The sequence below is a fragment of the Homo sapiens genome, chromosome 1 (assembly GCF_000001405.40).
Source record: "Homo sapiens chromosome 1, GRCh38.p14 Primary Assembly".
Classification (NCBI taxonomy): Eukaryota; Metazoa; Chordata; class Mammalia; order Primates; family Hominidae; genus Homo; species Homo sapiens.
In genome coordinates this window covers 66877685-66904061 of record NC_000001.11, presented here as the reverse complement: position 1 = coordinate 66904061, position 26377 = coordinate 66877685, and the positions used below count along the sequence as shown (strand labels likewise).

The window sequence follows — 26377 nt, the reverse complement described above, 5'->3', positions numbered from 1 at the left end:
TGAATACATGCATTTAAATATATATGCATATGTATATATACACACACAAACTATATTTCATTTATTTATATATATATAAAATTATTTTCTCCAATGGTGAAAATATTTATTATATATGTATATTTTCTCCAATGGTGAAAGACTGAAAGCATCTCTCCTAAGGTCCAAGAACAAAAGGAGGATGCCTGCTTTTACCACTTCTCTTCAACATAGTAGTGGCAGTCCTAGCCAGGGCAACTGAGCAAGGAAAAGAAATAAAAAGCATCCAGCTGGGCATGGTGGCTTATGCCTTTAATCCTAGCTCTTTGGGAGGCCAAGGCAGGCGGATCACTTGAGGTCAGGAGTTCGAGACCAGCCTGGCCAAATGGTGAAACCCCGTCTCTACTAAAAATACAAAAAAACTAGCCAGCCGTCGTGGCAGGTGCCTGTAATCCCAGCTACTTGGGAGTCTGAGGCAGGAGAATCACTTGAACCTGGCAGGCAGAGGGTTGCAGTGAGCAGAGAGAGCGCCATTGTACTCCAGCTTGAGGAACAGACTGAGACTCTGTCTCAAAATAAATAAAAGGCACCCAGATCGGAAAGGAAGAAGTAAAGTTCTCTCTGATGTGATCTATATGCAGAAAACTGTAAAAATTACACATACACACACACACAACTAAAAAATTCTGCAAAGTTGCAGGACAGAAAATCAACAACACAAATTAGTTGCATTTCTAACAATGAATTTCCAAAAAGGAAATTAAGAAAAAGATTGCATTTACAATAGCATCAAAAATAATGAAATACTTAGGGATAAACATAACAAAGGAGGCCAAAGATTTGTATGCTGAAAACTACAAAACACAAAAGAAAGGAAAGAATACACCAGTAAACAGAAAGACATTTCTTGTTCATAGATTGGAAGGCGTAATAGTGTTAGGTTGTCAATACTACCTAAAGTGACTTACAGATTCAATACATTCCCTCCAAAATCCCAGTGATATTTTTTCAGAAGTAGAAAAACCTATCCTAAAATGTATATGAAATATCAAGAGATGCAAATAGCCCAAACAATCTTGAATAAGAAGAACAAAGTTGGAAGTCTCATACTGCCTGATTTTAAAACTTATTACACATCTATAGTAATCCAAACAGGGTGGTAGTGGAATAAAAACAAACATACGGTATAGACCAATGGAATGGAATGGCCCAGAAATAAAATTTCACATATATGGTCAAATGGTTTTGACAAAGAAGCCAAGATTATGCAATGGAGAAAAGACAGTTTTGTCAACAAATCTTGTTGGGACAACTGGATATCCACATGGAAAAGAATGAAGTTGGATCCTTACCTTATACCATCTGCAAAAATAAATTCAGAATGGATCAAAGACCCCAAATAAGAGCTAACTCTGTAAAATTCCTAGAGGAAAATAGGGAAAAGAAATTATTTGCCAACAATTTCTTGCATATGACAACAAAAGCATATGCAGCTAAAGAAAAAATATATATATTGGACTACATTAAAATTAGAAATTTCTGTCTATCAAAAGACATTAACAGAGTGAAAAAACAACCCACAGGATGGTACAAAATATTTGCAAATTATATATTTGATAAGATGCTAATAACCAGAATATATAAATAACTACAAATTGACAACAAAGAAACAGCCCAATTAAAAGAATGGGCAAATAACTTGATTAGATATTTTTACAAAGAAGATGTACAAATAACCAACAAACACAGGAAAAGATACTCAACATCACTAAACATTAGGGAAATGCAAATCAAAATCACAGTAAGACACCACTTCATACCTATTATGACAGCTACTATTAAAAAAAACAAAACAAAATAAGTGTTGGTAAGACATGGAGGAATTGAAACCCTTGCATACTGTTAGTGGATTGTGAAATGGTGTGGCCACTATGAAAAATGGTATTGTAGGGCCAGGCATGGTGGCTCACACCTGTAATCTCAGCACTTTGAGAAGCTGAGGCAGGAAGATTGCTTGATGCCAGACTCAGCACTTTGGGAGGCTGAGGCAGGAGGATTGCTTGAGGTCAGGAGTTTGAGACCAGCCTGAACAACATAGCAAGACCCCATCTCTATAAGAAAATGAAAAAATAAATTAGCCAGGTGTGGTGGCAAAAGCCTGTAGTCCTAGATGCCTAGATGCTCAGGAGAATCACTTGAGCCCAGAATTTCAAGGCTACAGTGAGCTATGATCGTGCCACTGCACTCTAGCCTAAATGACAGAGCTATATCCTTTCTCAAAAGAAAAAAGGAAAGAAAAACAGTATCGTGATTCCTCCAAACCTTGAAAGTAGAATTACTATATGATTCAGGAAGGAGTATATATCAAAAGACTTCAAAGCAGAGTTTCAAACAGATATTTGTACAACCATCTTCATATCAGCATTATGCACAATAGCTAAAAGGTGAAAGCAACTAAAGTCCTCATCCACAAATGACTGGATACACAAAAAGTGGTATATATACACAATGAAATATTCAACCTTAAAATATAATGAAAAATCATTGATGAAATTAAAATCTACATTAGAAAAATATTCACTAATAGAAATAATGTACTATTGTGATGGTGATAGGTAAATAATCAGTAAGTTAAAGAAGAAATTAAAAGGAAAATCAGAAAATATTCTGAGATGATAGATAATCAAGACATGACATACCAAAGCTTATGGGATACAGCTAAAGCACTGCTTAGAGGGAAATTTGTAGATATACATTTGTATTAGAAAGAAGAAAGATCTCAAATAACTTACCCTTCCAACTGAAGAAACTGAAAAAAAAGAGTGAATAACACAAAATAACATGAAATAAGCAGAAGGGAGGAAATAAAAAATATTTGGGTGGAAATTAATGAAATATTGAATAGAAAAACAATAGAGAAAATCAATGAAAACAAAAGCTGGTTCTTTAAAAAGATCAACAAAATTGAAGGGAAAAGCATCTTAAAAAATCCAGCATCTTTTCATGATATAAACACGCAACAAACTAGGAATAGAAGGGAATTTCCTCAACTTGACAAAGGATTCACAAAAACCCCACAGCTAACATTATACTTAATTGCACTTAATCTCCTTATGATCAGGAACAAGACAAGTCCTTGCATTGCTATTCAACATTATCATGGAGGTTCTAGGCATGTAAATTAGACAAGAAAAAGAAATAAAAGGCATCCAGTTCGGAAAGTAAGAGGTAAAAACATCTTTATTTGCAGATGACATGATGTTATATATACAGACTCCTAAGGAATTCACTAAAATACTATTAGGACTTGCAAATGAGTTTTGTAAGGCAGCCGGATACATGATCAATATGCAAATGAATTGTATTTCTAGACACATGCATAGAACCATTTGAAAATTAAGAATGATTTATTTCACAATAGCATCAAAAACAGTAAAATACTTAGGAATAAATGTAATAAAAGAAGTGCAAAATGTATGCTCTGAAAACTATAAAACATTATTGAAAGAAATTAAATAAGATCTAATTCAATGGGAAAGTATCCCATGGTCATGATCAAAAGACCTACTATTGTTAAGATCGTTATACTCCCCAAACTGATCTGTAAACTTAACACAATTGTTATCAGAATTCCAGCTGACTTCTTTCTACAAACTGACAACTGATTCTAAAATTCATATGGGGCCAGGCGCGGTGGCTCACACCTGTAATCCCAGCACTTTGGGAGGCCAAGGCAGGTGGATCACCTGAGACCAGGAGTTCGAGACCACCCTGAACAACATGGTAAAACCCCATCTCTACTAAAAATACAAAGTTAGCCGGGTGTGGTGGTGCATGCCTGTAATCCCAGCTACTCGGGAGGCAGAGGCAGAAGAATCGCTTGAACTTGGAAGGCAGAGGCAGCAGAATCGCTTAAACTTGGGAGGCAGAAGTTGCCATAAGCCAAGATCGCACCATTGCACTCCAGCCTGGGCAACAAGAGCAAAACTCTGTCTCAAAAAAATAAAAATAAAATAAAATAAAATTCATATGGAATCACAGAGGACCCAGAAGAGCCAAAATCATCCTGAAAAAGAGCAAAGTAGGATGATTCACACTTCGCTGTTTCAAAAGTTACAAAGCAATAGTAATCAAAATCATGTGTTATTGGCACAAAGATAGACATGTAGATCAATGGGATACAATTGAGAGTTCAGAAATAAACCCATTTACCTAAAGTCAACTGATTTTTTTATGATTGCCGAGATCACTCAATGGGGAAAGGATATTCTGTTGAACAAATTGTTCCAGGATAACTGGATTGCCACCTGGAAAAGAATGAACTTAGACCCTTACCTCATATTTTCAAACTAATTCAAAATTTATTAAAGACAGATTTAAGAGCTAAAACTGTAACACTCTTAGAAGAAAACATAGGGGTAAGACCTTGGATTTGGCATAGGATTCTTACATGTGACACTGAAAGCATACGTAACAAAAGAAAAAGTAGACAAATTTGACCTTATGAAAATTTTTAAATGTTTGCATCAAAAGCATATACAGAGTGAAAAGATAACCCACAGAAATAGAAAATATTTGTGAAACATATATCTGATAAGAGCTTTTATCATATATAAAGAACTCTTACAATTCATTAATAAAGACAAATAATTATTCATCATACAATCTGAATGCTCATTTCTCAAGAAAATATATACAAATGATCAAAAAGCATATGAAAATATGGTGGACGTTGTTAGCCATCAGAGAAATTGAAATCAAGCCCACAATGAAATATTCACTTTATACCCACTAAGATGGCTAGAATCAAAGAGTCACATAACAAGTGCTAGAAGTAAAGAAAGCAGAACCCTCATACACTGCTTGTGGGAATATAAATTAGCCACTTTGTAAAATAGTTTGGAAGTGCCTCAAGAGGTTAAGCAGTGTTACCATATGAACCAGCAATCCTACTCCTAGGTGTATATACCCAAGAGAAATAAAATATATTTCCACACACAAGGGTATACACAAATGTTTCTAGTAGCATTATTCATAATAGACAAAAGGTGGAAACAACTCAAATGTCCATCAATGGAAAAGTGGGTAAAGAAAATGTTGTATAGCCATACAATAGAATATTATTCAACCATAAAAAGGAATGAAGCACTGATGCATGAATCTTGAAAATATGCTAAGTGAGACAAGCCAGTCACAAAATACTGCACAGTATATGATTCCATTCACTATCAAACTCCTGAATAGGGAAGTCTATAGAGACATGAAGATACTAGTGGTGGCGTAGGGCTGGGAGCGGAGATGTTAGGGGACTATCTTAATATGTTTTCTGTTGTTATTGTATAACTGAATGCTCAAGACTGGGTAATTTATGAAGCAATGTATTTCTGACATTTCTCGAGGCTGAGAAGTCCAGGGTCAAGTGGGCACATCTGGTGAGGATCTCCTCGCTAGTGGGGGACTCTCTGCAGGGTCCTGGAGTAGAGCAGGTTATTACATGGTGAGGAGTGCTCACAAGAGATGGAGAAACTGACTTTTATAACAGACCCCTCTCATGATAACTAATCCACTCCCTTGATAACCTATTTTATTTATGAGGGTAGAGCCCTCTTGACCCAGTCACCTCCCAAAAGTCCCACCTCTCAACACTATTGCATTAGGGACCAAGTTTCTAACATAACTTTTAGACACACATTTAAACTATAACTTTCTGCCCTTGGCCCCCAAATTCACATCCTTTTCACATGTAAAACACATTAATTCCATCCCAGTAGCCCCAACGCCTTAACTCATTCCAACATCAACTCAAAAGCCCAGAGTCTTACCTGTGAGCCTGTGAAATCAAAACAAACTATTTACTTCCAAGATACAATGGTTGGACAGACATGGGGTATACATTCCCATTCTAAAAGGGAGAATAGGCCAGAAATAATAGGTCTCAAAACAGTCTGAACTCAGCAGAGCAAACATTAAACTTTAAAGCTGGAGAATAATATCTTTTGACTCCATGTACTGCCTTCTGGACACACTGGTGCAGGGATTGGGTCCCCAGGGCCTTGGGCATCCCTGACCCTGTGACTTTGCTGGGGTCAGTCTACAGTATAGCTCTCCCAGGCTGGCTTTGCAGGCTGATAGCTCTGTAGTTCTGGGGTCCTGTGGCAATCCTGCTCCCATGTCTCCACTAGGCATTACCCTTTAGGGGCCTTCTGCAGTGGTTTTGCCCCTGTGATAAATCTCTGCATAGACTCCCAGGCCATCTGATACATCCATTGGAATTAAGATGGATCTTAATTCCTCCACAGCTTTTGCTTTTTGTAAGCCTGCAGAATTAATGCCATGTGGATGCTGCCAAGGCTTATGACTCACATCTTCTGGAGTAGTGGGCACAGCCCCAATGGGGGTCACTTGTGCCACAGCTGGGGTGGCTGACTCCTTGCCAAAATTTGGGGACCCAAGGTAGTTCTGGGTAGTGGGCTCTTGAAGGGCACCCAGGGTCTGTCCCCTGAAACCATTCTGCCCTCCTAGATCTCTGGGCCTGTGTTGGGATGAGCCACCTAGAAGATCTCTGAAATGCCTTTGGAGTCTTCTTCCACTGTCTTTATGATCCCTTCTATCTGTACTAAACTCCTTAGCAAATGGTTTCTGGGCCACACCCTTGGTTCATTCTTTACATGGCCAGGCTGAGACTTTTCCAAATCTTTCTGCTTTGCTTCCCTTTTGATTATAAATTGTTTTTTGTAATCTCATCCCTTTGTTCTCAAATCTCACTGTAAGCAAGCAAAAGCAACCATGCAGCATCTTGAACACTTTGCTTAGATATTAATATTTATTTTGCCAGGTATCCTAGTTTGTCACTCTTAAATTTTGCCTTCCATAAATTCTGCCAAGTTGTTTACTACTTTATAACAAAGACAGCCTTTATTCCGGTTTCTAATAAGAATTTCTGTCTGAGACCTCATCAGAAGTCTTTACTATTCCAAATTCTACCAGTATTCTGTTCACAACCACTTAAGCAATTAAAAAGATTCAGACTTTCTCTAGTCTGCTCTTCTGAGCCCTCACCAGAATCACCCTTAGTGCTGTTTATGGCAATGCAGCCTTTTTCTAGACTGCTTCTCTAAGTTCTTCCAGCCTCTATCCACTACTCAGTTCCAAAGCCACTTCTACATTTTCAGGTGTTTGTTATTAGTCCCACTTCTTGGTATTAATTTTTTTAGTGTGTTTTCTGTTTCTGTAAATGAATACCTGATACTGGGTAATTTATAAACAAAAGAATATTATTACAGTTCTGGAGGCTAGGATGTCCAGGGTCAAGGAACCACATCTGGTTAGGGCCTTGTTGCTAGTGGGGACTCTGCAGAGAGCTGAGGTGGTGCAGGGTGTCGCATGGTGAGGGAAGTTTATGAGAGATAGGGAAACTGGCTTTTATAACAGACTTCTCTTGTGATGACTAAACCACTCCCTTGATAACCCATTTATCCATTAATTCATGAATGGATTAATCCATTTGTGAGGACAAGCTTTCATTACACAGTCACCTTCCAAAGTCAAAGCTCTCAACACTGCTGCATTGGGACCACATTTCCAACACGTGAACTTTTGGTGCACACACTTAAACCATAGCAGGGATCATAATGGATACAGAGTCTCTTCTTGAAGTGTAAAAAGATTCCAAAATTAATTTTGGTGCACATATATGTGAACATATTAAAAGCTATTGAATTGTACATGTTAAAAGCAATTTAAAAAGCACATTAATGCATATTATGTTATTGTATTTCAATTTTGAATTTTGAAAATTTAGGTAAAATGTAAAAAAGCTTTTAAAAAATTACACTTTACCAAAGCAGACAAACAAAAATTGAAAACTGGAAGCTATTAAAGAAATTTATATGAGTGATTTAAAAACCTTCCTTCAAAGATAATTCCAGATTCAGATGACTTCAATTGTGGTATGTGTCAAACATACATAGATGAAAACAGAACACTAAAAGTGGGTATACTCCAAAACTCATTTTATGAGGCTAGCATTACCTTGATATTAAAACCTGAATACAGTATGAGAAACAAATATTATATGCCAATTTCACTTGCAAACGTAGAGAAATCCTCAATAAAATATTATCCAATAAAGTTCAGTAACAACAACAACAACAACAACAAATGCTTAATACATACATCATAAGGAAGCTTGGTCTGTGCCAAGATATCAAGATTGGTTTAACATTTAAAAACCCTTAGTGTAATTTACCACATTAACAGCTTAATGTGGTAAAAAAGCATATGATCATTTCAATATAGACAGAAAGTATCTGTTAACATTTAATATTCATGATTTTAAAAATTCTTATGAAACTGAGAATCACAAGGAACTTTAAACATCTTATTTAGGCTATCTATAAAATCCTACAGTAGTGATCATGTCAAATGGTGAAGCATTTCAAAAAAGAGCCCCCTTTTATTCAACATAAATCAGTTCAAATTGGTAAGAAAAAGAAATGGAATGTATAAGAATTGGAAAGGAAGAAAGAAAACGTTGAATATTTGTGGATTGAATATTTGTTAGCAACAAATAGTTCAAAAATTAGATTTTTTTTATTTGAAAAAAATTTTTTTAGAGATGAGTCTTGCTCTGATCATGCAGACTGAAAGTGCAGTGGCACAATCATAGCTCACTATATCCTCAAACTCCTGGGCTTAAGCAGTCCTCTTGCCTTAGCCTCCCATGTGGCGTGGGCTACAGGTGTGTGCTAATTTTCTCAAATTTTTGGTAAAGACGAGATTCTGCTGTGTTGTTCAGGCTGGTCTCAAACCCCTAGCCTCAAGCAGTCCTTCTGCCTTGACCTCCCAGAGCACTGGGATTACAGGCATTGAGCCACTGTGCCCATCCAAAAATTAGACATTTTAAAATGATACAATTTATAATAGCACTAACATTTATCAAGCACTTGTGGAAAAATATAACAAAAGATGCATATACCAATATTTTTAAAACTATAAAAGTTTATTGGAAGACATTAAAGAGGACCAAAACAAAAGGAGATATAGACATATTTGTGCAGAGCAAAAGTCAATATTTTAAGATTATCCTAAATTTTGATTTATAGATTCTTTGCAATTTTAATCAAAATCTCAAGTTTTAAAGTTATTTTTTCCAGAAACTTTTCAAGATAATTCTAAAATTTATATGTAAATGCTAAAGGCTAAAAATAGCCAAGACACTTGCATAAAAACTCAGTGGAAACACTTGCTTTCCTAGATACCAGGCTTAATAAAACATATAATATTAGCAAATTAGAGAGTCTTCAAATGACCTGAGCACATATAAACACTTATTTTATAATAAATGTGAACTGCAGAGTAATGGGGAAAGGACAGGATTTTCAAAAACTCTTGTTGAGACAATTGGATGTTCTTATAAAACAAAAATATATTGGCTTTCTTATCCTATATATAAAATTAATTCTGGGTATATTATAGACTTAAATATGAAAAGCAACATATAGGACTTCAGGGCTGGGAATGTTTTTTTTAAGGAGATGTCTAAAGCACAATCCATAATGGAAAACATGATACAATTGACTACGTTAAAAATAACTCATATTCATCAAATATACCATAAAGAAAATAAAGCCACAGAGTGAAAGAAGACATTTGCAGCTCATACAACTGAAAGGACTCATACATTACCAATAATAAAAAAGTCTCAATAAAAATTGTGCAAAGGACTTGAATAGGAAATTCTCCCCCTCCAAACGGAAATCAAAATAGGAATAAATATATAAAAAGAGTTCAACTGTATCAATATCTCTGTTTTCTGCCTCCACATTTTGTCCCACTGGAAGGTTTTTTGGGGGCAGTAATATGCATGGAGCTATCATCTCTTATAACAATATCATCTTCTAGAGTACCCACTAAAGGACCTGCCCGAGGCTGTTTTACAGTTAACTATTTTTTTAAGAAATAAAAGGAGTACACTCTAAAATATTAAAAAGTGTAGTTTCGTAAGCACATAAACCAGAAGCATAATTTATTATTATTATCAAATATTATGTACTGTGCATAATAGTATTGCTATACTTTTATATGACTGGCAGTGCAGTAGGTTTGTTTATACGAGCATCACCACAAATTCGTGAGTAATGTGTTGTGCTATGACATTATGATGACTGTGATGTCACTAGGTGATAGGAACTTTTCAGTTCTGTTATAATGTTATGGTACCACTGTCATATATGTGGTCCATTGTTGACTGAATCATTTTGTGGTGCAGAACTGTAAACCAAAAGCATATAATAACTTGGGAAATGCCTATTAATGAAATGTTAAGTGAAAAATAGTGAGTTTTCTTTAAAATGTGTACATACAATTTACATGCACCAAAATACTAACAATCTGGATGAATTATCTTTCCACTGTTCTGATTTTCCTAAAGTTAATATATATTAATTACATATAGATAAAGCAAAAATAATATTTTAAGAAAGTTTTTGCATAATTAAGAAACTTTCTAAGCATGACATTTTAAAGCATCCAATTTTTCATGTTTATCCTATTATAGGAGCATTATACTAATCTTTTTTCTACCATATTTGTTTCTATTTTCTAGCAGCTGTTATTTAGAAGCCCTGTCTTTTTTAGTTATTTCATTTTAAATAACCATTTTTAACAGGTATTTGACATAAATGGAACTGATGTTACTCCCCGACCTCTTTACCATCCAGATCCACTTACTGGTACAGCAAAACCAAGTAAACTCTTGACATCACAAGAAGGATCACTTGGATCAGAATTTATATCTTCCTATAGCCTTTATCAGAATACAATAAATCCTAGTACGTTAGGGCAGTTTACAAGGTAGAGTATACTATTATATAGTTCCTTTTTTCTATCATATATATTGCCTTTCCATTTAAATTGCAAATGTGTATCTTAGATATCAGTTGTCTCCAGTCTCCCAGTTTCTTTCTTTCTTTCTTTCTTTCTTTCTTTCTTTCTTTCTTTCTTTCTTTCTTTCTTTCTCTCTCTCTCTTTCTTTCTTTCTTTCTTTCCTCTCTTTCTTTCTTTCTTTCCTCTCTCTCTTTCTCTCTTTCTTTCTTTCTTTCTTTCTTTCTTTCTTTCTTTCTTTCTTTCTTCTCTTTCTTCTCTTTCTTCTCTTTCTCTCTTTCTTTCTTTTTTGAGACAAGTTTCACTCCTGTTGCCCAGGCTGGAGTACAGTGGTGCCATCTTGGCTCACTGCAACCTCCACCTCCCAGGTTCAAGCAGTTCTCCTGCCTCAGCCTCCCAAGTAGCTGGGATTACAGGCGCCCCCCCACTACACCTGGCTAATTTTTTGTATTTTTAATAGAGACGGGGTGTCACCATGTTAGCCAGACTGATCTCGAACTCCTGACCTCAGGTGATCCACCTGCCTAGGCCTCCCAAAATGCTGGGATTACAGGCATGAGCCACCCAGTTTTGATTATCATCCTAGTGTTCCATCTCTATGTTCCTCTCATGTTTTAAATTAAATGCAGAGCTCTTAATGTCTTCAGAGTTTCCATACACTCACAACAAAACATTTGTGAAAAATATATATATTTCACTCAAGACTTCCTGAGCAACCAAAAGATGGGACTAAAATCACATACAATTAATTTCAAATTCTCATTAGACATTTTTCTTCAGGTTTCTTCAGCTTCTTTTGAGCTGCATTTTACAGGAAGAGGTGGCTTTCCTTTTTTCCCCTCCTCTCCCATGCAAATCTCTGTTCTCCTAGAGTTTGATTTCTCTCTTATTTTATAATACACAGCAATTATGCTTCTCTGGAGCTTGCCTCTGAATTTGCCTGCAAAAATATAGGAGTACCTGGTAAAGGAGGATATTCCAATAAACTTTACATCCTCTTTTGATGGGCAGTTGAGACTATAAATAGGAACAAAAAAGAAAGTATGTAATACCATGGAGTACTGCTAAGTTCATATGTTTAAGGAAATTATTTTTGGATTCTTCCATTGATTTATTTCTGAGTACATATATTTTAGTTAAACCTTGAGAAGGCCTTTATAAAATGAAATAAATCACATTTTTAAGATGACATTTGAACAGTGAACAGAAACCAAGTGAAAAACAAAAGGAAGAGTATTCCAGGCTGAGGCTCTGAAGTTAGAGAGCTCTGTAAGATTGAGGAACTAAAAAAAGAAAAAAAGTAAAGGAAGACTAATAATGAAGATGAATATGCTGGGTAGGTTGACTGTATTTTGGATTTTTGTACTAAATGTATTGGTAATTCACCGAAGGACTTTAAGCATGTTTAACATGTCTTTCTTCTAAAATACATTTTGGCTGGGTGCGGTGGTTCACGCCTGTAATCACAGCACTTTGGGAGGCCGAGGTGGGCAGATCACCTGAGGTCAGGAGTTCAAGACCAGCCTGGCCAAAATGGTGAAACCACGTCTCTACTAAAAATACAAAAAAATTAGCTGGACGTGGTGGCGCAAGCCTGTAATCCCAGCCACTCAGGAGGCTGAGGCAGGAGAATCACTTGAACCTGGGAGGCAGAGGTTGCAGTGAGCAGAGATCATGCCACTGCACTACAGCCTGGGTGACAGAGCGAGACTCCATTTCAAAAAATAAATAAAGATACAAATAAATTTTAAGTAACTTTTTATTTAAGAAATATTAAAAACCAACTCATTATTTAAAAATTAATGTATCTATTTTGCTTATATGATCATAGTATATTTGATTTCTCCATCTGATAATATGTTCTAATTTGTATATGTAGTTTCCTATAAGGACATCTAAATAAATGAGTAATTTTGTTATTCATTATTAAAGGTCAGTTTTAGGAAGCAGTACAGTTTCTAAGTCAAGTGTATCAGCAAGTGAATCAATAGCAGAAGACCTGGAAGAACCATCCTATAAACGGGAAAGATTGACTAGTTTCACAGGTAATGAAAATATACTTGTTTATTTCAGTAACAGTCCGTTATTTAGTCAATATGCTTATTATTGGTTGGATACTTGAGATAAAAGAAATATGGTAATGATTTCCAAATGCTGGCTTGTGAAGTCGCTTCAAGAGAATTACCAGGGGAATATCTATTTTTTTAAGTTCCCTGGGTGACTGTTTTGAATCATCAGCCTGAGGAACCAATGGCGCTTTGTGTTAGAGCTCAGCTGCTGCTTCTGCTGCTGCTGTTGCTGCTGCTGCTTCTGCTTCTTCTTCTTCTTCTTCCTCTTCCTCTTCTTCTTCCTCTTCCTTTTCTTCCTCTTCCTCTTTTCCTCTTCTTTTCCTCTTCTTCCTCACTTCTTCTTCCTCCTCTTCCTCTTCTTCCTCTTCCTCCTCCTCCTCTTCCTTCTCCCCCTCTTCCTCTCCCTCCTCCTCCTCCCCCTCCTCTCCTTCTTCTTCTTCCTCTTCCTCCTCTTCCTCCTCTGCTTCCTTCTCCTCTTCCTCTTCTTCTTCTTCCTCTTCTTCTTTCTTCTTTCCTCTTTTTTTTTATTTTGAGACAGAGTCTTGCTCTGTCACACAGGCTGGCGTGCAGTGGCACAATCTCAGCTCACTGCAACCTCCGCCTCCTGGGTTCAAGCAATTCTCCTCTCTCAGCCTCCCAAGTAGCTGGGATTGCAGGTGTCCGCCACCATGCCTGGCTAATTTTTTTGTATTTTTAATAGAGACGGGGTTTCATCATGTTGGCCAGGCTGGTTTCAAACTTCTGACCTCAAATGATTTGCCTGCCTCAGCCTCCCAAAGTGCTGGGATTACAGGCCTGAGCCACTGTGCCTGGCCTCTTCTTTCTTCTTCTTCTCAGGATCTCACTCTGTCACCCAGACTGGAGTGCAATCTTGGCTCACTGCAACCTCTGCTTCCTGGGCTCCAGCGATCCTCCCACCTCAGCCTCTGAAGTACCTGGGAATACAGGCATGTACCACCGTGCCTGGCTAATTTTTTGTAATTATTGTAGATAGAGGTTTTCACTATGTTGACCAGGCTGGTCTCGAACTCCTGGGCTCAAGTGATCTGTGTGCCTCGGCCTCCCAAAGTACTGGGATTATCAGTGTGAGCCACCAAATTCAGCTTCTAATTGCAGACAAATAATTCTGATACATTTGTGATCAGTTCCATAATAACATATGTGGAACGTCATGGGAACACTTAGAAAGGAGTGATTAAATCCTTTGAGGTAAAATAAAAAAGGTTTCACAGAGAACATTATTGACTTTTGAATCAGGTTTTTAAAGATGATTAGTTACTTGTTTGGAGAAGAAGTAGGGGAAGCTCAATCCAGGCAGAGGGTAAAACATGAGGTAATAGAAGGGATTATGAAAATGAAGATACAAGAATGAGGAAATAATAATGGATGATCAGAAGTGCTGGGAGAAATGGTTACATACTTGAGGGGTACTTGATTTGGAGTGCAATAAGGATTTTTTTCCTTTAAAATGATAATGAGGGACTGGTGAAGATATAAGGTTGGAAAAATGGTGCTTTATGGACTTTTCTTTCTGATGTTGGGGGATGTAACAGGAATGACTCTGACAGCAAGTAACAGAATACCCAACTAACAAGAATTGAACAAATATTTACTTTTCTCACATTAAAAGAAGAGATAGCTTTTGGCTTTGATTTTTTTTGGCTTAATTTTGTCAGAATTTGGATTGGCCGTTCTGCTATTCTCTTTCCTAAAGCCTTTCTTCTTTTCTTATGGTCTCAAAATATCTTCTCTAGCTCACTCTGGGCATTTTATCCACATTAAAGACAGAAAGGAGAAGGGCAATAGCACCATCCTATCTCTGTCATTTTTCAGGAAGGTAAAAAATTTCCCAGAAGCCATTCCGCTTCCTTTATATTTCTGCTTTCATCTCATTGGCCAGAACTGTCACATGACCACCCTTAGCTTTAAAAGAGCCTGGAAAATCAAGTATTTAGCTTTCTATTAATTATATTATTTCTATTAAAAGAAAGAGGCAAGGAGAGAGAGAAAGGGTTTGGAATAAAAACCTAACCAATCAGCAATGTCTGCTGCAGGAGAGACCCTCATTCTCTCAGGTGGAGGCAGGGAAAACTGGATTATTGTCATAACCTCCCCCAGCTTTCTCTGTAGATATTCTTGCCACCTTCCAATCTATTTTTCCAAACTATATTCAGAATGATTTTTTTAGAAACACAACTAATTGCATCCTCTTTTGCTTAGAAACTAACTCTTCAAAGGATTTGCATTACTCTTAGCATAAAGACTAAATCTTTATGTAACAATTTGCCTTGAAGCCTTTCTTTGCTTATCTACATCAAAAACAAACAAAAACAAGTAACACAAATTTACCTCCAGAAGACTTGAAAAACAATATAGATATTTATATCACTTTGGCCAGTTGCTGGTGAATTTTTTTGTTTTGTTTTGTTTTGTTTTTTAGACGGAGTCTTGCTCTGTCACCCAGGCTAGAGTTCAGTGGCATGATCTCAGCTTACTGCAACCTCCGCCTCCCGGGTTCAAGTGACTCTTCTGCCTCAGCCTCCCGAATAGCTGGGAATACAGGCGCTTGCCACCATGCCTGGCTAATTTTTGTATTTTTAGTAGAGACGGGGTTTCACCATGTTGCACAGGCTGGTCTTGAACTGCTGACCTCGTGATCTGCCTGCCTCGGCTTCCCAAAGTGCTGGGATTACAGGCGTGAGCCACCACGCCCAGCCGTTGCTGGTGAATTCCAACTACAAAGTCAGCCTCTAAAATGAATGACACCTAAACAATTCTACTTCTACCCACTGGCTTCTTTTTTAGACCAGAACAGTGCTTCCTCGCTCTAGAATGCATATTAAAGTCATCTGGTATGCCTTTTAAAAATTCCCATAGTTGTGTCTCAATTCAGGTCAATTGAATTGCAATATCTGGGACTAGGGTTTAGGCCTAAGCAGTAAGTATGCTGATAAATATTTTGCTACCTACACAGGTGGCAAGGAAACATTTATTTGCAGCATTTGCCAATTTCCATGTTATAAATCCTCTCATCACAGCAGATTTCAAGCTCCCAACATAAATTTTCTGAATGGGAAGTTACAAATAGATACTTAGTAGCACACCACCATACAGATACAATAGATATTTTAAATAACTGCAAGAATTAGGTAGTAGTAGATTTTTTTTTTTGAGACAAAGTCTCGCTCTGTCACCCAGGCTGGAGTGCAGTGGTGCGATCTCGGCTCACTACAACCTCTGCTTCCTGGGTTCAGGCCATTCTCCTGCCTCATACTCCCAAGTAGCTGGGATTACAGGTGCCTGCCACCACACTCAGCTAATTTTTGTATTTTTAGTAGAGACAGGATTTCACCTTTTTTGCCAGGCTGGTCTCGAGTGATCCGCCGCCTTGGCCTCCCAAAATGCTGGGATTGCAGGTGTGAGCCACCACTTCTGGACGGTAGTAGTAAAATTTAATAGCATAACTAGGAAGTGATGATCCTTGAGTAATTATTATCTTTGTTTTTAATATGATTTATTTAATAATAAGTTTATATAATTTAATTTTGAGTAATGTCTATGTTTAACAACTGACTCACAAAATTCCTGAAATTAGCCTGTTCTAATATACTTCTAGATAAAAATATATTTAAAATATGTTTATAACTTCCCCCCTCCCAGACCTACTGAATAAAAAATTCTGTGGTGGACTTCCAGTTTCTGTTCTTACATGTAGAGAGTTTAAAAGTCATTACTCCTGTCTTATAACAAGAAAAAGTTGGACAAATGGAAAATTAACAACTTTTATTGGGCTTATCAGAGAACTGTGGTGACAAGGGCAAACTGCCACCTTAAGATCTAGAGAGATAGACAATCCAGAGAAATACAGTTCCCAAGAGTTACTTACCATAAACTGGAGGAACACATGAATGATTATTTTCATGAATTGCTGGAGGCTGAGTATTTTACTAGTATAAGAGTAAAAAATTCATGGGGGAGCACAATCATGGGAAAGAGAGGGCCCACACTTACATGGCCTTCATTCTAGGAATCCAGTGGATTCTTTCAGTGAGGATCTGAGCTGAGGATCTGAGCTAAAGATCTGAGCTGAGGATAAGCTAGTGGCCTTGGTAGGGGAGGCAAAGAATATCCAGCTTAAAACACTCCTTCCCCTTTTTTTCTAACAAAGACTTAGTCTGGGGATGGGGGGTGGGGGAAATTTGCCAGAGGGTAATTTTGAAACTATAGCCCAGATAGGGTAAGGGAATTCTACTCTAGCACCAGCCTTTATTTCTTAACTAAGGAGGAAAGATAACAGCGTTTAAGGAATTCCATTGGAAATGTTGCAGCCAGGGAAGGGAGTAGGGGCAGGGATAAGACAACCGTGCCCTTGAAGTAGGAATAGATATACTTGTGAACACCATGTCTCCAAGACACAGGTTAACTAAAAGTCTGAGACTCAATCAGATTGTAGACTACTTCCCTTCTCCACACTTACTACCAGTGAACCTCCAGAGTAACAATACTGGATTGCAGATGAAAGAATTGCAAGACATAGGCTTTCTCTAAAGCAATACAAAGAGAAGCCTGAAAGCCAGGAAGGGAAACAAAAACAAGAAAGGTTTTGATACCTGTAGCTAAAACAACATTAAACACAACCAAACTGCTACCCTGAGTGCTATCAATTCTTCTGCTGAAGGCCTTATTACCTCAGCACCTGTTACAGGATACAACATGTCTGGCTTTTAACAAAAAGTCATTAGGAGTGCTAAAGGGCAAGAAAAATATATTTTCAAGAGATCAAGCAAGCATCAAACCCAGGCTGTTATGATACAAATTTAAAAACTATGGCACAGGGCATTTTAAATAATTATGATTAATATGTTAAGAGATCTAATGGAGAAAGTATACAATGTGCAAGGTGTGTAATGTCAGCAGAGAGATGAAAATTATACGAAAGACTCAAAATGACATGCTAGATATCAAAAACACAGCAACGTGAATGAAGAATATCTTTGATAGCCCCATTGACTTCACAGGGTTAAGGAAAGTATCAGTTAATTTGAAGGTCAATAAAAAATTCCCAAACTAAAATGCGAAGAGAAAAAATAATGAAAATAGAACAGCCATCCAAGAACTGTGGGATAATATCAAAAGGCGTAACATATGCACAATTGGAATACCAGAAGAGAGAATGGGATAGAAGAAATGCTTGTAGTAATACTTGTTGAGAACATTCCAAAATTGTCAGACACTAAACAACAGATACAAAAAGAATACCAAGCAAGATAAATATCAAAGCAAAACAAAAACACAAAACCTAGGAATATTATATTCAAATTACAGACAACAAAAGACAAAGAGAACATCTTGACGGAAGCCAGAAGGAAAAAAATCTTACCTATAGAAGAATAAGGATATATTTTTTATTGTTTTCTTTTTTTCTCTTTTATTTTTGTACAGACAGGTTTTTGCCATGTGCCCAGGCTGGTCTTGAACTCCTGGGTTCAAGCGATTCTCCTGCCTCAAGCCTCCCTGAGTGCTGGGATTATTATAGGCATGAGTCATCACACCTGGCTAGAAGAACAAGGATATAAATTACATTTGACTTCTCATCACAAACCAAATAAACAAGAAAAGAGTGAAACAAAAATCTTTAAAGTGTTGAAATTAAAAACTGGCATTCTATAATTCTATATCCAGAAAAATTATCCTTCAACAGTGAAGGAGAAATGAAGATTTTCCCAGATAAAGAAAATTCTGAGGTAATTTATTTCCAGCAGACCAGCTCTGAAAGAAATGTGGAAAGAACTTAATCAGGCAAAAGAAAAATGACATGGGTCAGAAACTTGCATCTACATAAAGAAAGGCTAGATGGCATTCTGTAGACCACATTCTGGGCCATAAAACATACTTCAACAAATCCAAAAGAATAGAAATTATACAAAGTATGTGCTCAGATGACAATAGCAATAAGCTAGAAATCATAACAGAAAGATAGCTGGAAATTTTCCAAACATTTGCAAATTAAACCACAAAATTCTAAATAACCCATGGGCCAAAGAAGTCTCAAGAGAAATTTAAAAACAAATAATTTGAACTCAATGAAAATGAAAATACAACTTATCACAATTTGGGGATGAAGAAAAAGCAATTTTTAGAGGGAAATTTATAACACCAAATGCATATGTTAGAAAAGAAGAGAGATATACAATTAATAACTTAGGTTTCCACTGTTCTTTGAGACAACTGGCTGTTCTCTGCTATCCGGCAGAGCTGCTGACAAGGTACTTTGATGGCTTCTGGTTAATTTGGTCACAGGATGTATTCCTTGGCTAAGCAATTACGCTATTTGGTATCTGCAGTTGGGCAGGGCTGCAGTTGGGGTCTGAAGGGGGAACATTTCCAAACTAATTTTACAAGGCCAGCATCACCCTGATGCCAAAGCTAGACTAAGATATTACAAGAAAAAATCATGGGCCAATATCCTTGATGAACATGGATGCAAAAATCCTCAACAGAATATTAGCAAACTGAATTCCACAACACATTGAAAAAACTCATCCACCATGATCAAGTGGGATTTGTCCCTGAGATGCAAGCATGGTTCAACATATGCAAATTAATAAATATGATACATCACAATAGAATGAAGGACAAAAACTGTATGATCATTTCATCAGATGCAGAAAAAGAAGGGAACTCTTATACACTGTTGATGGGAATATAAATTAGTATAGCCATTATGGAAAACTGTAGGTAGGTTCCTCAAACTAAAAATAGAATTACCATAAGATCCAGCAATCCTACTTCTGGGTATTTACCCAAAAGATTTGAAATCAATTTCTCTGACTGCATCCCATGTTCATTGCAGCACTATTCACAGTAGCCAAGTTATGGAATCAACTTATGTTCATCAACAGATGAATGGATAAAGAAAATGTGGTATATACACACAGTAGAATACTATTCAGCCTTAAAAGGAAGGAAATTCTGTCATTTGTGACAACATGGATATAATGAATTAGAGAACATTATGCTAAGTGAAATAAACCAGACACAGAAAGACAAATACTACATGTTCTCAGTTATATGTGGAATCTAAGACAATTGATCTCATAGAGGTGGAATGTAGAATGGTAGTTAACAAAGGCTAGGGATTTGGGAGATTGGGGAGAAGATGATCAAAGGGTGAAAAATCTTAGGAGAAGTATGTTTTTTTAAAAAGTCTATTGCATAATGTGGTAAATATAGTTAATAGAATATTCTATATTACAAAATTGCAAAGAGAAATTTCAAATATTTTCACTACAAAAATGTTGAGTATTTGAGGTGATGGATATGTTAACTAGCTTGATTTAATTATTCTACATTGTATTCATAAACCATCACTTTGTACCCCATAAATGTACCCAATAATAAGTTGTCACTTTACAATTTAAAAATTGTATATTCCTATAAAATACAACATATTTAAAAGTATCTTCCTAAAAAAGATATTTTAAAAATTATGTCACAGGCAAAATGAAACTAGGCTTACTTTTTAAAAAAGGAATAAAGTTCATGCAGATTGGGCCAAGCGTGGTGGCTCACACCTGTAATCCCAGCACTTTGGGAGGCCGAGATGGGCGGATCACCTGAAGTCAGGAGTTCAAGACCAGCCTGGCCAACATGGCAAAACCCCGTATATACTAAAAAACCAAAAATTAGCTGGGTGTGGTGGTGCACACCTGTAATCCCAGCTACTCGGGAAGCTGAAGCAGGAGAGTCACTTGAACCCAGGAGGTGGAGGTTTCAGTGAGCCCAGATTGCGCCATTGCACTCCAGTCTGGTGACAAGAGTGAAACTCCGTCTCAAAAAAAGTTTATACAGATTGGAAGGCAAGAAATAAAACTGTCTATACTTACAGATGACATCATTGTCTATATAGAAAATTCCTAAGAATCTACAAAAAAAAAAAAAAAAAAAAAGAAAAGAAAACTTCCTGGCACCAATAGGCATGTATCCTGCAACACTGCAGGATACAAGGTCAATATATAAAAGCAAACTGCCTTTCTGTTTGCCATCAACGAACTACTAGACTTTGAAATTAAACTACAACAACAAAAAACATTTACAGTAGCATCAGAAAAGTATAAATCTAACAAAATATTTACAGAATCTATACACAGAAAGCCTCAAAACAGGGAAGAAAGAAGTAAAAAAAAATAAATAAATGAATTTCATATGCATGCATTGGAACATTCAGTATTGTAAAGATATCAGTTATTTGTAATTCGATGTATAGATTCAATCCAATCTTAATCAAAATCCCAGCAATCTTTTTTGTAGATATCAGCTAATTTATTCTATAATTTATATTGAAGAACAGAGGATTTAAAACAGCCAGCCCAACTCTGGAAAAAAAAAAAGTGAAGGACTCACATTACCTGATTTCAAGCATAAGTATAGAGCTATCACAATCAAGTACACTGATAAATAAAATGGAATACAGAGCTCAGAAATAGAACCACACTAATATAATCAACTGATTTTTTACAAAAATACAAAGGCAATTCAATGAAGAAAGAATTCTCTTTTCAATAAATGTTGATGGAAAAATTGAACATCCATATGCAAAAAAAAAGAGAGAGAGAGAGAGCATAGACACAGACCTTACATCTTACTCAAAAATTAACTCAAAATGGATCATGGGCCTAAAGTTAAAATGCAAAAGTAAGAAACTTTTTGAAAAACATCAGGAAAAAATCTGTGTGATCTTGGCTTTGGTAATGGAATTTTAGATACACCAAAAGCACAATCCATAAAATTAGAAATTGGTAGAATTGGACTTTTTAAAAATTTTTGCTTTGTGAAATAAAATGTTAAGTGAATGATAAGACAAACCACAGGCTGGGAGAAAATTGTTTGCAAATCAAATAGATCATAACGGACTTTTATCCAAAGTACATATACAATTCATAAATTTCACAGTAAAAAAAACCCAACTGTATTACTCTGTTTTCACCCTGCTGATAAAGACATACCCAAGACTGGGAAGAAAAAGAGGTTTAATGGACTTACATTTCACATGGCTGGGGAGGCCTCACAATCATGGTGGAAGGCAAGGATGAGCAAGTCATATCTCACATGGATGGCAGCACGCAAACAAGAGAGGTTGTTCAGGGAAACTCCCATTTTTAAAACCATCAGATCTCTTGAGACGCATTCACTATTACAAGAACAGCACAGGAAAGAACTGCTCCCATAAGTCAATCACCTCCCACTGGGTTCCTCTCATGACATGGAATTGTGGGAGTTACAATTCAAGATGAGATTTGGGTGGAGACACAGCCAAACTATATCATTCCACCCCTGGTCTCTTCTAAATCTCATGTCCTCACATTTCAAAACCAATTATGCCTTCCCAACAATCCCCACAAGTCTTAAGTCATTTCAGCATTAACTCAAAAGTCCACAGTCCAATGTCTCATCTGAGACAAGGCAAGTCCCTTCTGCCTATGAGCCTGTAAAATCAAAAGCAAGTTAGTTACTTCCTAGATACAATGGGGGTACAGGCATTGGGTAAATACAGTTGATCCAAATGGGAGAAATTGGCCAAAACAAAGGGGCTACAGGCCCCATGCAAGTCCAAAATCCAGCAGGGCAGTCAAATTTTAAAACTCAAAAATGATCTCTTTTCACTCCGTATCTTGCATCCGGGTCACACTGATGCAAGAGGTGGGTTCCCATGGTCTTGGACAGCTCCACCCCTGTGGCTTTTCAGGGTATAGCCTCCCTCCTGGCTGCTTTCATGGGTTGGCAGTGAGTGTCTATGGCTTTTCCTGGCACATGGTGCAAGCTGTCAGTGGATCTACCATTCTGGGGTCTGGAGGATGGTGGTCCTCTTCTCAAGGCTCCACTAGGCAGTGCCCCAGTAGGGACTCTGTGTGGGGGCTCCCACCCCACATTTCCCTTCTGCATTGCCCTAGCAGAGCTTCTCCATGATGGCCCTGCCCCTGCAGCAAACTTCTGGCTGGGCATCCAGGCGTTACCATACATCCTCTAAAATCTAGGGGGAGGTTCTCATACCTCAGTTCTTGACATCTGTGCACTCACAGGCTCAATACCACATGGAAGCTGCCAAGGCTTGGGGCTTCCACCCTCTGAAGCCATAGCTTGAGCTGTACCTTCATCCCTTTTAGTCACGGCTGGAGTGGCTGGGATGCAGGGCACAAAATACCTAGACTGCACACAACACCGGGACCCTGGGCCCAGCCCACAAAACCACATTCACCTCCTAGGCCTCCAGGCTTGTGATGCGAGGGGCTGCCATGAAGACCTCTGACATGCTCTGTAGACATTTTCCCCATTGTCTTGGTGATTAATATTTGGCTTCTCATTACTTATCCACATTTCTGCAGCCAGCTTGAATTTCATTTCAGAAAATGGGATTTTCTTTTCTATTGCATTGTCAGGTGGTAAATTTTCCAATCTTTTATGCTCTGCTTCCCTTATAAAACTGAATGCCTTTAACAGCACCCAAGTCACCTCTTGAATGCTTCGTTGCTTAGAAATTTCTTCTGCCAGATACCCTAAATCTCTCTCAAGTTCAAGTTCCACGAATCTCTAAGGCAGAGGCAAAATGTCACCACTCTTTTTGCTAAAACAAGAGTCACCTTTGCTCCAGTTCCCAACGAGCCCTTCATTTCCATCTGAGACTACCTCAGCCTAGACTGTATTGTCCGTATCGCTCTCAGCATTTTGGTCAAAGCCATGCAAAAAGTCTCTAGGGAGTTCCAAACTTTCCCACATTTTCCTGTCTTCTTCTGAGCCCTCCAAACTCTTCCAACCTCTGTCTGTTATCCAGTTCCAAAGTTGCTTCCACATTTTCGGGTGTCTACAGCAGCACCCCATTCTACTGGTACCAATTTACTGTATTAGTCCATTTTCATGCTGCTGATAAAGACATACCTGAGACTTGGAAGAAAAAGAGGTTTAATGGACTTACAGTTCCACATGGCTGGGGAGGCCTCACCATCATGCCAGAAGGCAAGGATGAGCAAGTCATATCTCATGTGGATGGTGGCATGCAAAATAGAGAGCTTGTGCAGGGAAACTCCCGCTTTTAAAACCATCAGACCTTGTGAGACTCATTCACTATCAAGAAAACAGTGCAGGAAAGACCCACCCCCTTAATTCAATCACCTCCCATTGGGTTCCTCCCATGACATGTGGGAACTGTGGGAGTTACAATTCAAGATGAGATTTGGGTGGGGACACAGCCAAACCATATCACCAACCCAGTGAAAAATGAACAAAACATAGGAACAAACACTTCATCAAAAAAGATATACAGATGGCATATAATAAGCATATGAAATGATGCTCAGTTTCATATGTCATTAGGAAAATACAAATTAAAAATGAGATAGTACTACATATGCATTTAAATGGCTAAAAAAACCTGATAATACCAATTGCTGGCAAAGATGTGGAGAAATAGGAACTCTCATTCCTTGCTGGTGGGGATGCACAATGGTACATCCAGTTTGGAATATAGTTTGACAATTTCGCATAAAACTAAACATACTCTTACCATATCATCAAGCAGTTGTGTTCCTTGGTATTTACCCAAATGAACTGAAAATTTATCTTCACACAAAAATCTCCACTCAAAAGTTTCTAGCAGCTGAATCATCAATGCAGAAGACTAGAAGCAACCAAGATGTCTTTTAAGTGGTGAACAGATAAATAAACAATAGCATGTCCATATAATGGAATATTATTCAGCAATAAAAAAATGAGCTATGAATCCATGCAACAAGATTGATGAATCTTAAATACTTATTGCTAAGTCAAATAAACCAGTCTGAAAAGACTATATCCTGTCTGATTCTACTTATATGACAGTCTAGAGAAAGGCAAAACTATAGAAACAGAAAACAAATCAATGGTCGGTAGCAGGGCCTTGAAGAGAAGGGAGAGTTGAATAGGTGAAGCATAATGAATATTTTTAGGATGGTAAAACTATTCTGTATAGATACTATAATGGTGGATACATAGCACCATGCCTTTACTAAAACCCAAAGAATATTACAACACAAAAAGTGAGACTTAAAATGTGGGAGGTTTTTTAAAATCACAATTAAGAAATACGAGGATCCTACAATGGAATACAGACTGTAACAAAAGAATCAAACTGCCTTACAAATGTATAATATAACCCTCCAGAAGGAGTGGGAGGAAAGGGTATATACCTAAATAATATTGAAAATGAGTAGAGGCTATAAGATTAAAGACAAAAGGAACTGCAAATAAACACTCTAGTTTATAGTCACTTCCCATGGGGGTATTGGTTAATAATTCTGAATCATTGTACATGCATACTGGGATTGAACATGTAAGTAATTGGAGGGCAGATGGTAGGAACTCACCATTGTTGGAGTGGGAGATTACAGAAAGCAAGAAGGGAAGCTAGAATTATTTATGTGGTATTGAACAAGTGTCAAAAACATTAATATAAACTCATGTTTAGCTTAATAGAGATATAGATGAACATAGATGTATAGATATGTTTGTATATACAAGTTAGTATACATACAAATATTTCTTAGCTCTGTCCACTAAGAAAGCCTAGAAGTAATGATACCCCAGAAGCAGCAAGCACTCTCAGTGCTCAGATTTTGGTTTCTAATTCCATTCTCTAATAAAAGCAACTAGGGCTCTTTGAAGAAATGCCTGATTCTAGAGTTGGTGCATGGATACAAGATGAGCCAGCAAGTAAAGAAGTGCTCAAACAAAACAAAATAGAACAAAACTCTACAATAAACAAACAACAAAAAGGGGTATTTGAGAGGAACCTAGCAGCCAACAGAAAGAGCTCACAATGGCAAAAGGTAGAACAATTTCAACAACAAAATAAATATTGTAGAATTGGATTATAACCCAAATTATAAAATAAATACGCATGAGTTCATAGTAACACAAACTAATATTGAATAAATGAAGAGGAGAGAATAGAAAAATCTTTTTACACGAGAATTCCAAATAATTATATAGATATTCTTCCCTCAAGAAGGTGGATCTTAACTTCCCATTCTACAAGTATGGGCTTTGCATGTTGACTTTCTTCTAAACAGTACAATATGTAAAAGAGAGAGGGGGGAAAATAACTTTAAAGCAGAGGATATTGACAGGTGGCCAAGATTAACACCATCAATGATAAGTTATGATGTTAGCATGTATCTTTGATATGATATGATGAGAATGACACTTTACCTCTGTAGTCTTCCTCCCAGAAACCCATAACACTTGTTTAACATCAGAAAATCACAAATTGAAGGACATTCTACAAAATACATGACTGCTGCTTTTCAAAACTCTCAAAGTCATCAAAAACAAGGAAATTCTGAGAAACTGTCACAGTGTAGAGAGCCGTAAGGAGACATCATGACTAAATGTAATGTGGTGTCTTGGATGAGATC

At 37.1% G+C, this 26377-nt stretch overlaps 1 protein-coding gene across 13 annotated transcripts in view; it reads left to right on the top strand.

Annotated features, from left to right (window-relative positions):
* Positions 1–26377, top strand: part of DNAI4 (dynein axonemal intermediate chain 4) — a 111972-nt gene that overhangs the window by 20795 nt on the left and 64800 nt on the right. For 11 of the 13 annotated variants that reach the window (XM_017002354.2, XM_047430752.1, XM_017002353.2 and 8 more), the window contains 2 exons: positions 10649–10833; positions 12796–12908. The exons of 1 other annotated variant lie outside the window; for it this stretch is intronic. In XM_017002354.2, coding sequence (XP_016857843.1) covers positions 10649–10833; positions 12796–12908 — 298 coding nt within the window. Of the gene's footprint in view, positions 1–10648; positions 10834–12795; positions 12909–26377 lie in introns of those variants that run through there. One more of the 13 variants, XM_024449821.2, reaches the window with a different exon arrangement.